At 35.7% G+C, this 13,575-nt stretch overlaps 1 long non-coding RNA gene across 2 annotated transcripts in view; it reads left to right on the top strand.

Moving 5' to 3' along the window:
• LOC107987108 (uncharacterized) overlaps positions 1–13,575 on the top strand; it is a 675,821-nt gene that overhangs the window by 11,889 nt on the left and 650,357 nt on the right. For both annotated transcript variants that reach the window (XR_007061713.1, XR_001746870.2), the window contains exon 2: positions 9,245–9,329. This is a non-coding gene — a long non-coding RNA (uncharacterized LOC107987108). The remainder of the gene's footprint in view (positions 1–9,244; positions 9,330–13,575) is intronic.

Here is a 13,575-nt window from a genome sequence, read left to right on the forward strand (position 1 = left end):
TGACTTTTTTGTTTTGAGTTAACTCTTGATGAGTTAGGATCTATCTTCAAGTACTTTTTTACTTTTTCTGAGTTGTATCTGGGTCATAATCTCTATTAGTCCTATTTTTGTCAGAGAATATCTTCCTAGTTTTTCTGATTGAGTCACTTTTAATCACTGTGTCATTATTTAGTCATTATTTATGTATATAAACATATTTATACACACATTTATTTATTATATTGATATATTTATTATGGGAATTGGCTCAGGTGATTATGAATGCCAAGAAGTTTCACCATCTGCCGTCTATAAGCTGAGAACCAGGAGAGCTAGTGGTGTAATTCAGTTTGAGTTCAAAGGCCTGAGAACCAGAAACTCTGATGTCCGAGGGCCAGAGAAGATGAATGTCCCAGTTCAAGAAGAGGGAAAACTCACTCTTCTTTAGCCTTTTTGTTCTACTGAGGCCCTCAATGGGTTGGATGATGACCGCCCACATTGGTGAGGGTGGATCTTCTTTACTCAGTCTACTGATTTAAATGCTAATCTCTTCTGGGAACACCTCCACAAATACACCCAGAAATCTTGTTTTACCAGATATCTGGGCATCCCTTAGCTCAGTTAACTTGACACATAAAATTGACCATCACAGTTACCATGTTTTTCCTTTAAAAAACTGAAGAATTTGCTCTATTTTTTTTTTTTTTTTTTTTTGGTGTTTAGTTTTAAGGAGAAATCTGAGAAGACTCTATGTTTTTATATTTTAAAATAATTTATATTTGTTTTATGTTTGGCAATTGTTCTTTCTGGCTGTTGCCCTCTTTTTAATCAGTGTTGACTGGTACTTTTAAATCTTTTTATTTAGTAGACATAAATTTTTCTTTAATGCTGGAAGGTTTTTTTCCCCCACCTTTATCTTTGATTTTTGCTCTATTTCAATTTTGTTCCATTTATTTTGGCCTCATTTTTAGGAATATCAACTATCTGCAGATTTGATTTCTTTTCTCACCTCTACATCTATCCATCTTCTCTCATTTTATTTTCTTCTCTTCCCTGCCATTTGCATTTTTGAAGGATTTTCCAGATTTGTTTTTAGGCAATTAATTTGATTTTCTACAGTGTCTATGATTATATTTTCTGCTTCTAATGTAGATTTTAATTGTGTTATTTCATTTCTAGTTTCCTTCTCATCTCAGCAAGCTTATCTTTATGTCTCTGTATTTCGTTCACCTATTTTTAAAGTTGCATCTAACACCTGATACTCTCAATTTTTATTTGCTTAATGGTATCTGTGTTCTTTTGAACCTAATTAAAAACTAAAATTTATGATTTCTACATTTCTTTAGTCTTCTGTATAAATAATTTTCAGAAGACAGCTGTTTGAATCAGTCAGGGTTCTTAGTTTAATGTGGAAGAAACTGACTTTGGCTAATTTAAGTTGAGAGTATTGATGTTGGGTAGTCTCTGGATTGTTGAATAGAGGGCATGCACTGGATAACTGAACCTAGAGGTGACATGGCTGGAATCCTGTAAAATCACACCGCAGAACTGGTCAGGTGAGCATTATCCGCTATTTTTGCCAAGCACCCAGTGCCACAGCTTCCACCTCTGTCATTATTTCCTCCAGAAACTATGTTGCTGCCATGGTTGCCCTTCTGCCATCCAAATGGATTCTCCACTGTTCTGCTTTTTGCATCACTAGACACTGGTTCGTAGTTCAGGAAGCATGCACATGATTGGCTGAACCTAGATTACATGTCCGTGGTCTAACTGCAAGTATGTCTGGTAAAGCAAGTTTCTGATCTTTCAGCAACAGTAGTAGAAGGTGTCCTCTGTCTCCCACCAAGGCCTATAAAGACAGTGAAAACGTGAACAAAGAATGGACAGTCAATACAGTAGGGTCCATTATATTCTTCTTTGTATCCTGAGTGCTGTGCTATTTTTCCTTCCGTTTCAGAAACTTCTAAATTCTCAAGCTTGATTTTTACATCTTTCAAATGAGTATATTCCTTTTAACAAAGATATATATAGCAGAGCTTGACATTTGCCAAAAAACAAAGTGAGTAGAGTTCTTTGGTCCCTGGCTCTGCTGGTGATTACTTTTCAAAACCTTCTTTTGCCTTTTGAAATACTAAGCATGGTGGGCAGTGTGGGAGAAAGCTTTCCCACAGGAATAATTTATATTTTTTATCCACTTTGGTTATTGTTGAAGTATCAAAGGTAGAGTAAAAAAGGAGAGGTATCTCTCAGCCTGAACTGAAACAGCTATCTTTTGGAATAAGCACATTAGGTTTCTTCCTTTAATGGCCAATATCATACTGAATGGGCAAGAGCTGGAAGCATTCCCCTAGAAAACTTGCACAAGACAAGGATACCCGCTCTCACCACTCCTATTCAACATAGTATTGGAAGTTCAGGCCATGGCAAGCAGGCAAGAGAGCAAAATAAGCATATTCAAATAGGAAGAGAGAAAGTCAAATTGTCTTTGTTTGCAGATAACATGATCTTATAGCTAGAAAACGCCATTGTCTCAGCCTAAAAGCTTCTTGAGCTGATAAGCAACTTCAGCAAAGTCTCAGGATACAAAAATCAATGTGTAAAAATCACAAGTATTCCTATACACCAACAATACACAAGCAGACTGTCAAATCATGAAAGAACTCTCATGCACAATTGAAATAATATTTTAGTAGGCTGTAAGCTTAATTTAAGTTGAGGAGCATCTGTATTATGTGAAGTGTCTGTTCAAGTCTTTTGTTCACAATTCTGTCAGTTTTCTCATTGAGTTGTAAGAATTCTTTATGTATTCTGAATACTAGCTCTTTGTCAGATTACAAATATTTTATCCCATTATATGGCTTATCTCTTCATTTTTTCAAGGTGTCTAGATAAACAAAACTTTCAGGTTTTGATGAAATCTAATTTACCAATTTATTTGAATGGTTTGTGGTTTTGTGTCCTATCTGAGAAATTATTATCTACCCTGAGGTTGCAAGGATTTTCTTCTTTGCTTCTCTTTTGTTCCATCACATTTAGGCCTATGGACAATTTTGATTAATTTTGGTTTATGATATAAGGTAAGGGTCAATGTTAATTTTTTCACCTAAGGGTATCTACTTGTTCCAGCACAATTTGGGGAGAAAACTTTCATTTCTTTTTAAAATTACCTCAGCACCTTTATTGAAAACTAATCAAATATATATGAATTTATTCCTTGGTTCTATATTCTATACAAATTGATCTATATGTCTATCTTTTTGGCACTACTACATTGTTTTGATTACTGGGTCTTAAGAGTAAGACTCAAAATCAGGCAGTGTAAGTATACCAATTTTTTCTTCTATTTCAAAAATGCTTTTTATTTTCTAAGTCATTTTGATTTCCATATAAAATGTATAATTAACTTGTAATTTTCTACCAAAAAGTTCTGCTGAAATTTTTTGGCATTATGTTAAAACCATAGATACATTTGGAAAGAGACATCTTAATTATATTGTCTTCTAATCCATGAACATGGTATACCTCTCCATTTATTTAGATCTTTGCTAATTTATCTCAGCAAAATTTTGTTCTTTTTGTTATAGGAGTCTTGTCTCACTTGTTAAATTTATTCCTAAAGATATTATATTTATTTCGTGCTATTATAAATGCAATTTTGAAAATTTGTGTTCCAATTGTATGCTGGCAATATGTAAAAATTCAATTAATGTTGATTTTATCTTGATTTTTAAAAATTTAATTCTATAATCTGAGATCTTGATAAATTCCCTCGTTAGTTCTAGTAGTTTTTTGGTATCATCCTGAGGGTTTTTTACATAAGTAGTCATGTTATTTGCAAATAGAGACAGTTTTATTTATTCCCGTCTAATCATTATTCTTTTTATGGCTGTGTAGTATTCCATAGTTTATATGTACTACATTTTCTTTATCCAATCTACCACATTTAGGTTGGTTTCATGTCTTTGCTCTTGTGAATAGTGCTGAAATGAACATATGCGTACACGTGTCTTTAGAGTAAAATGATTTATATTCCTTTGGGTGTATACCCAGAAATAGGATTGCTGGGACAAATGGTAGTTTTGTTTTTAGCTCTTTGAGGAATTGCCACACTGCTTTCCACATGAACAATTTACATTCCCACCAACAGCATGTAAGTGTTCCTTTTCTCCACAACCTTGCCAGCATCTATTATTTTTTGACTTTTTAGTAATAGTCATTCTGACTAGTGTGAGATGATATCTCACTGTGGTTTTGATTTGCATTTCTCTAATGATCAGTGATAATGAGCTTTTAAAAATATGGTTGTTGGCTGCATGTATGTCTTCTTTTGAAAACTGTCTTTTCATGTCCTTTGCCCACGTTTTAATGGGGTTGTTTTTTTCTTGTAAATTTGTTTAAATTTTTTATAGATGCTAGTTATTATACCTTGGTCAGGTACATAATTTGCAAAAATTTTCTCCCATTTTGTAGGTTGTCTGTTTACTCTTTTGACAGTTTATTTTGCTGTTCAGAAGCTCTAAAATTTAATTAGATCCCATTTATTAATTTTTGCTTTTGTTGCAATTGCTTTTGGTGATTTCATCATGAAATATTTGCCAGTTCCTATGTCCAGAATGTCATTGCCTAAGTTGCCTTCTAGGTTTTTTTTATAGTTTTCAGTTTTACATTTAAGTCTTTAGTCCATCTTGAGTTGGTTCTTCTATATGGTGTAAGGAAGGGGTCCATTTTCAGTTTTCTGCATATGGTTAGCCAGTTATCCCAGCATCATTTATTAAGTAGGGTGTCTTTTCCCGATTGTTTGTTTTTGTCAAAAAAATCAGATGGTTATAGATGTGTGGCCTTATTTCCTGGCTCTCTATTCTGTTTTATTGGCCTATAACTAAAACAGCATAGTACTGGTACAAAAACAGTATGACATTGGGCAACAAGATGCCTGCAACTTTGTTCTTTTTGCTTAGGATTGCCTTGGCCATTTGGGCTCTTTTTTGGTTCCACATGAATTTTAAAATAGTTTTTTCTAGTTCTGTGAATAATTTCATTGGTAGTTTGATAGAAACAGCATCAAATCTGCAAATTTATTTGGGCAGTATGGCCATTTTAAATATATTTAGTTATATTGATTCTGCATATCCATGAACATGGAATGTTTTTCCATTTGTGTCATCTCTGATTTCCTTGAGCAATGTTTTGTAATTCTCATTGTAGAGATCTTTCATCTCTCTGGTTAGCTGTATTCTTAGGTATTTTATTCTTTTTGTTGTAATTGTGAATGGGATTTGTGTTTCTGATTTGGTTTTTGTCTTCGCTGTTGTCGAGTGTGTAGCAATGCTAGTGATTTTTGTATGTTGATTTTCTATCCTGAAACTTTGCTGAAGTTGTTTATCAGCTAAAAAAGCTTTTGGGCCAAGACTATGAGGTTTTCTAGATACAGAATCATGATCATATCATCTGCAAACAGGAATAAGTTTGTCTTCTACTCTTCTTATTTGGATGCCCTTTATTTCTCTTCCCTGATTGCTCTGGCCAGAACTTCCAATACTAAGTTGAATAGGAGTGGTGAGAGGGGGTCATCCTTATCTTGTGCCAGTTTTCTTTTTTTTTTTTTCTGAGAGGGAATCTCACTCTGTCACCAGGCTGGAGTGCAGTGGCGTGATCTCGGCTCACTGCAACCTCTGCCTCCTGGGTTCAAGTGATTCCCCTGCCTCAGCCTCCTGATGAGCTGGGACTACAGGCGCATGCCACCACACCTGGTTAATTTTTTATATTTTGGTAGAGACGGGATTTCACCATGTTGGCCAGGATGGTCTTGATCTCCCGACCTCGTGACCTGCCTGCCTTGGCCTCCCAGAGTGCTGGGATTACAGGTGTAAGACACCGCACCTGGCCATTTTGTGCCAGTTTTCAAGGGGAATGCTTCCAGCTTCTGCCCATTTGGTGTGATGTTGGCTGTGGGTTTGTCATAGATGGCTCTTATTATTTTGAAGTATGTTACTTCAGTACTGAATTTATTGAGAGTTTTTAGCATGAATGGATGTTGACTTTTATTGAAAGCCTTTTCTGTATCTATTGAGGTAACCACATGGTTTTTGTCTTAAGTTCTGTTTATGTAATGAATCACATTTATCGATTCACATATGTTGAACCAACCTTGCATCCCAGGGAATAAAGCCTATTTGGTCGTGGTAGATCATGATTTTTGAAGTGCTACTGGATTTGGTTTGCAGTATTTTGTTAAGGATTTTTGCATCAAACTTCGTTAAGGATATTGGCCTGAAGTTTTATTTTTTTGTTATATCTCTGTCAGGTTTTGATATTAGGATGATGCTGGCCTCATAGAATGAGTTGTGGCGGAGTCCCTCCTAATTTTTTGGAATAGTTTTAGTAGGAATGGTACCATCTCTTCTTTGTACATCTGGTAGAATTCGTCTGTGAATTCATCTGGCCCTGGGTTGAGTTTTTTTGTTTTGTTTTGGTTTTGGTTGGTAGGCTATTTATTACTGATTCAGTTTTGGAGCTCATTATTGTCTGTTCAGGAATTCAGTTTATTCCTGGTTCAGTCTTGCGTGTGTCCTGGAATTTATCCAACTCTTCTAGTTTTTGTGCTTGTGTGCATAGAGATGTTCATAGTAATCTGTGATGATTATTCATATTTCTGTGGGGTTAGTGACAACATCCCCCTTTTCAAGTCTGATTGTGTTTATTTGGATCTTTTCTCTTTTCTGCTTTATTAGTGTAGCTAGTGGCCTGTCTTATTGATTTTTTTTAAAAAGCCAACTCCCAGATTTATTAATCTCTAAAATTTTTTTTTGTTTGATATCCTTTGGTTCAACTCTGATTTTGGTTATTTATCTTCTGCTAGCTTTGGGGTTGGTTTCCTCTTGCTTCTCTAGTTCTTTTAGTTTTGATATTAGTTGTTAATTTGAGTTCTTTCTAACTTTTTGATGTGGGTGTTTAGTGCTATAAATTTCCCTCTTAACACTGCCTTAGCTGTTTCCCAGAGATTCTGGTATGTTGTATCTTTGTTCTCTTTAGTTTCAGTGAACTTCTTGATTTCTGCCTTAATTTCATTATTTACCCAAAAGTCATTTAAGAGCAGGTTGTTTAATTTCCATGTAATTCCATGGTTTTGAGTGACTTTTTTCCCTCAATTTTGATTACGTGGTTGATTTTAGAGTATGTGACATGTGGCAATGAGAAGAATGTATTTTCTGTTGTTTCTGGCTGGAGAGTTCTGTAGAGGTCTATCACATCCATTTGGTTCAATGTTGAGTTTAAGTCCTGAATGTCATTGTGAATTTTCTGCCTCAATGATCTGTCTAATACTGTTAGTGGAGTGTTGAAGTTTCCCACTATTATTGTGTGGGATTCTAAGTGTCTTTGTACATCTCTAAGAACTTGCTTAATGAATCTGGGTGTTCTTGTGTTGGGTGCATATATATTTAAGATAGTCAGATCTTGTTGAGTTGAACCCTTTACCATTATGTAATGCCCTTATTTCTCTTTTTTGATCGTTGTTGGTTTAAAGTCTGTTTTGTCAGAAATTAGGATTGCAACCCTGCTTCTTTTTTCTAATTTTCATTTGTTTGGTAGATTTTTCCTTTATCTCTTTATTTTGAGCCTGTGGGTGTCATTGCACGTGAGATGGGTCTCTTGAAGACAGTATACCATTGGGTCTTGCTTTTTTATCTAGCTTGCCACTCCGTGCCTTTTAAATGGGGCCATTTAGCCTACTTACATTCAAGGTTAGTATTAATATGTGTCAATTTTATCCTGTCATCGTGTTGTTAGCTGGTTATTATGCCTGCTTGTTTGCATGGTTGTTTTACAGTGTCATTGGTCTATGTGCATAAGTGTGTTTCTGTATTGGCTAGTAATGGTCTTTCCTTTTCATATTTAGTGCACCTTTCAAGATCTCTTGTAAGGTGGGTCTGGTGGTAACAAACTCCCTCCACATTTGATTATCTGAAAAGAATCTTATTTCTCTTTCACTGAGGAAGCTTAGTTGGGCTGGATGTAAAATTCTTGGTTGAAGATTTTGTTTTTTAAAAATGTTGTGTATAGAACCTCAATATCCTCTGGCTTGTAGAGTTTCTGCTGAGTGGTCTGTTGTTAGCCTGATGGGGTTCCCTTTGCAGGTGACCTACCCTTTCTCTCTAGCTGTCTTTAACATTCTTTCTTTCATTTCAACCTTAGAAAATCTGTTGATTATGTTTTTTGGGGCTGATCCTCTTGTGTAGGATCTGGCAGGGGTTCTCTGTATCTCCTGAATTTGACTGTTGACCTCTCTAGCAAGGTTAGGGAAGTTTTCATGCACTATATCCTGAAATATGTTTTCCAAATTGTTTGCTTTCTCTCTGTTCGTTTAAGTGATGCCAATGATTCATATATTTGGCCTTTTTACATAATTTCATATTTCTTAGAGGTGTTGTTCATTCATGTTTATTTTTTCTTTATTTTTTTCTGACTGTCTTAATGCAGAGAGGCAGTCTTCAAGTTCTGAGATTCTTTCCCCAGCTTGGTCTATTCTGCTCTTAATACTTGCAATAGCATTGTGAAATTAACATAGTGTGTCCTCCAGCTCTGTCAGATCAGTTAGTTTTTTTAAAAAATACTGTGTGTTTCATCTTTCAGTTCCTGTATTGTTTTGTTGTGATTCTTAGTTACCTTGGATTGGGTTTTGCTATTCTCCTGAATCTCAGTGATCTTCATTCCTATCCATATTCTAAATTTTACTTCTGTAATGCAAGTGAATTCAACCTGGTTAAGAGCCCTTGTTGGAGAACTAGTGTGGCCATATGGAGGACATAAGACACTCTGGCCATTTGAGTTGCTAGAGTTCTTGCATTGGTTCTTTCTCATCTCTGTGTGTGGCTGTCCCTTTAACTGCTGGGCTGCCTCTGATTGAAGTGGTCAGGACAGAGGCAGGGTGCTGGAGTCCCAGGTTGGGCAGCCTTACTCTGTGAGGAGAAGTGAGAACCAAGACCTCACTTTTGCATGAGGTAGGTGCTCTGTGCTGGGCATCTGGACCAGTCCCTGGTCCCACAGACTCTCCAGATATGGAAAAAGCAAGGACCAGGGCTGTGATACAGCCAAGATGGCAACCTATGCCTCCTACTGGGAGCTCTCTTCCAAGGGGTTGCAGAGTTGCTACTGGATTGATTGTTCCAGTTTGGGTGGCTGGAGACCCACACCAGGAGAACCTGCCCAGTGAGGAGATACAGGATTGGAAACCCATGTAACAAACAGTCTGGAAACTTTTCCACAGGGCTGCTGCAGTACCTGAAGATATCAACAGTAAAGACTACAAAACAGCAAAGATGGTGATCTGCCCCTTCTTTTGGGAGCTCCAGGTATGGATCTATTGCTGGCTCAGACATGCTGGTGGGGTAGGGTGCTGGGGGCCTGGGCTGGGAGGTCCTGCCCAGTGAGGAAAAATGGGGTCAGGAAACTGTATAAAAGCACATTTTGATAGAGCAACTGTGCTGTGTTGGGGGTCTGCTCCAGCCTCTAGTCACCTCAGACTCTCTAAAGCCTGAAGGTGACAATGGCTGAGACTGCAAGTCAACAAAGATGGTGGCTTACCCCTCCCTCTGAGGGCTCTGTCCCAGACAGGTTTGGAATTGCTGCCATCTGGAAAACACTGGTGAGGGTGGTTGTAGACCTCAGTTGGGAGATTCCATCCAGTGAAGAGAAATGGGATCTGGGACCCATGTGAAAAAGCAGTCTCGCTGACTCTTCACAGAGCTGCTACACTGTGCAGGGCAATCAATCCAGTCCCTTGGTTGCCTCGGATTCCCCAGAGCCTGAAGGCATCAATGGCTAAGGCTGTGAAACAGCAAAGATGGTGGCCCACCTCTCCCTCTGGGAGCTCTATCTCAGGGATGTGTAACACTGCTACCCATGGCTGGCTGGAGTTCCAAGCCAGTGGATCTTATCTTGTGAGGTGTTATGGAAACAGGGCCTGCAGACTGTTGCTGCTCAACCCCCTGGATTCAGCCTTTTTCCTAGGGGTCTGTACAGGGGCCTAACCTCTTGCTTTGCTGGAAAGCCTGGGCATCTAAAGCTCACAGGGCTCTACTTATGCCTGAGGGTCTGCTCTGCTGAGACTCCATGTAGCTCTGCATGTCAGACTGTGGGCCCTGGTGGAGTGGGTTCACAAGGGAGTCTCCTGACCTGAGGTTTGCAAAGATTTATGGGAGTAGTGTGGGTCCCCAGGGTCACTCACTTACTCACCACTTCCCTGGGCAGGGGAGACTCCCCTGGCTCCTTGTTCTTTGTTGCTCCTGCGTAAGCAGTCCTGCCTTGCTTTTTTCTGTTCTGTTTTCTGTCAGTCAAGGTGGTTTTTTTTTTTTAATTAATCTCAATGTGTGTAACTGAGTATTTCAGTTGAAGGTGCTATGTTTACTTGCCCCTTCTATTTCCCTCCATGACAGCAGTGCACACTAGCTGCTTCTGTGGACCATCTTGGCCAGCCCCCCTTGGGTTTTTTTTCTTCTTTATTTTGTTAATATGGTGAATTGCATTTTTTTTTTAAATGTTAAACCAACCTTGCATTACTGGAATAAATACCACTTAGTCATGATATATTAACTATTCCTTTGATACATTGCTAGGTTTAACTTGCTAAAAGTTTTTGTACCTGTGTTTATGAAGGATATGAATCTATAGTTTTTAAAATTGTAATATCTTATGTAATTTTAGTATCAGGATAATGATGCTACTCTTTTTTCCTGTTTTCTGGAGGAGTTTGTGTAGAATTGTTATTTTTCTATTCCTCATATATTTGGTAGAATTCACCAGCAGGGATATCTTGCCCTGAAGGCTTTTAAATAAAATTTTTATAGAAAGGTTTTTTTTTGAAACAAGTAATTTCATCTCTTTAGTAGATATCAGGTTATCTATTTCTTCTTGATTGTGCTTTACTAGTTTTCAAAATGTATGTTTATTACATTTAACTTGTCAATTTTTCTTATCTTTTTAATATGTGTACTATTTATAGTTTTTTATTCCTGATATTCCTTCTTATTCCTGATATTGGTAATTTGCGTCTTCCCCTTTCCACCACTTTCAACTCAGTTCAGCTAGAGATGTAGGAATTTTTTTAAATTAAAGAATCATCTTTTGGCTTTATTTTATTTATTGTTTATTTCCTATTTCATTGATTTTTGCTTTTTATTTACTTTCTTCTGTCTGCTTTGGATTTACTTTGTTCTTTTTTTTCACTAGCTTCTCAAGGTCATTAATTACAAGTTATTCTTTTTTCTTTTTCCTGACATGAACATTTAAAGTCATAAATTTCCCTCTACTGCCTTTACTGCATCCCACAAATTTATTTCTATGTTGTATTTTTATTATCATTTGGTTTCAAATATTTTCTAATTCTTTGATTTTTATTTGACCCATGGATTATTGAGATATCTGTTGTCCAATTTCCAAACATTTGTAATATTCTAGCTATATTATTGTTATTGATTTATAATTTAGTCTTTTGTGGTCAAAGACCATACTTTGTATAACTTCAATCCTTTGAAATTTATCGAAACTTGCATTATGACATAACATATGTTCTATATTGGTGAATGTATCAAGTATATTTGAAAATAATATGTATTGTGTAGTTATTGGGTGTAAAGTTCTATAAATACAAATTAGGCAAAAACGAATGACATGTTCAGTTATTCTATGTATCTACTTGTTTTTTTTTCTAGTTTTTAAGTAATTTGCTGAAAGAGGGGTATTAAATTCTCCTGCTCTGATTGTAGAATCATCTATTTCTCGCTTTAATCTTATCAATTTTTGATTTGCTTATTTTAAAATTCTGTTATTAGGGACACACACATTTATAATTGCTATGCCTTTCTGATGAATTAATCCTTTTATTATTATAAAATATTCTTCATTTTTTTTCTAATACTCTTGAGATCTATTTTATCTGCTATTATCACAACCACTGTAGCCTTATTATGGTGACTCTTCATATGGTGTGTCTTTTTCTGTCCATTTACTTTCAACTTTTAAATTTATATTTAAGATATGTCTCTTGTAGATAGAATTTGGTTGGGTCTTCATTTTAAAAAATCCATTCTGATAACCTGTGCCCTTTAATTGCAGTGTTCAGTTCAATTAACATTTAATATAATTACTGATATGGTTGAATTTAGGTAGCCATTTTATTTTTTATATATTTTGAATCCCTCTCATTTGTCCCACCCTCATCTTACCTTCTTTTGGGTTATTTCAATATCTTAATTTCCATTTTAGGACACTTATTCATTTCAAATTATATTTCTGTACATTTCAAAAACATGTTTGTTCTATACATTCTTTTCACAGTTTATGCAGTCCTAATATGATAAAAAGTAGAATTATTGTAATACATAGATAGGTCTATTTACTTTCTATCTTACCACTCTTTAAGTTATAGTTGTCACATATATTACATCTAAGTACATGTAAATCCTACAAGAAAATGTCATACTTTTTGCTGTGAAATATCCTTTGAATTCTAAAGAAATTAAAAGAAGAAAGTGTTTTCATTTACCCATATATTTACCATTTATATTTCCTACTCTTCATTCATTCCTGAAAATCTAAGTTTTCCCTTGATATCATTTCCTTCAACTTGAAGACCTTTTTGTACAGTTCTGGTGGAGACCAATTTCCTTAGTTTTTCATTACCTAAAAATGTCTTTATCTCACTTTCCTTTTTGAAGCAAGCTTCACTGAATTTAGAATTCTAGGATGACAGTTATTTTCTTGTAACATGTTAAAGATGTTCCACTGTCTTCTAGCCTCTATAGTTTCTGGGAAAGGTTTGTGAGAAAAGTTTGTGATAATTTCTATCACTGTTCTCCTATATGGAACGTGATGTTCTTTTCTGGCTGCTTTCAAATTTTTGTCTTTCTCTTCCCTGAACATCAGTTTGGCTATAATGTACTTAGATATGGATTTCTTTGCATTAATTCCCTTTGAGGCTTTTTGAGCTTCCTAGATCTGTACATTTCCATCTTAAAAAAATTGGAGACGTTTTCTGGTATTTATCTTTAAAATATTTACCTGCCCCATTGTCTTTCTTGGTAAGATGTATTGAAATTATTTCATGGGTCCCTGAGGTTCTGCTTATTTTTTTTTTAATTTCCCCTACCTCTCTTATTCAAATTAGATGATGTTTATTGACCTATCTTCAAATTCACTGACTGTTTCCTTTAATCTCCATTTTGCTATTAGGACCATCCACTGAATTTTTCATTTGAGATGTTTTAGTATTTAGTACTAAAATTTCCATTCATTTCTTTTTTATATGTTATTTTTTCTTGCTGAGGTTTTTAATCTTTATATTCATTATATTTCCTTGACATCACTGACTATACTCACAATAGCTATTTTGAAATTCTTTCCTGATAATTCCAACATACAGGTCATCTTGACATGGGCTTCTATTGTTTGCATTTTCTCTTGAGACTGGGTCACATTTTTCCGGAACTTTGTATGTTGAGTAATTTTGTATTTTATCCTGGATGCTGTAGAGGCAACATTGTAGAGACTCTGAATTTTGTTTTATTGCTCTAGAGAGTGTTGATGTTTCATTTTAACAGG

Source organism: Homo sapiens, chromosome 9 (assembly GCF_000001405.40).
Source record: "Homo sapiens chromosome 9, GRCh38.p14 Primary Assembly".
NCBI lineage: Eukaryota > Metazoa > Chordata > Mammalia > Primates > Hominidae > Homo > Homo sapiens.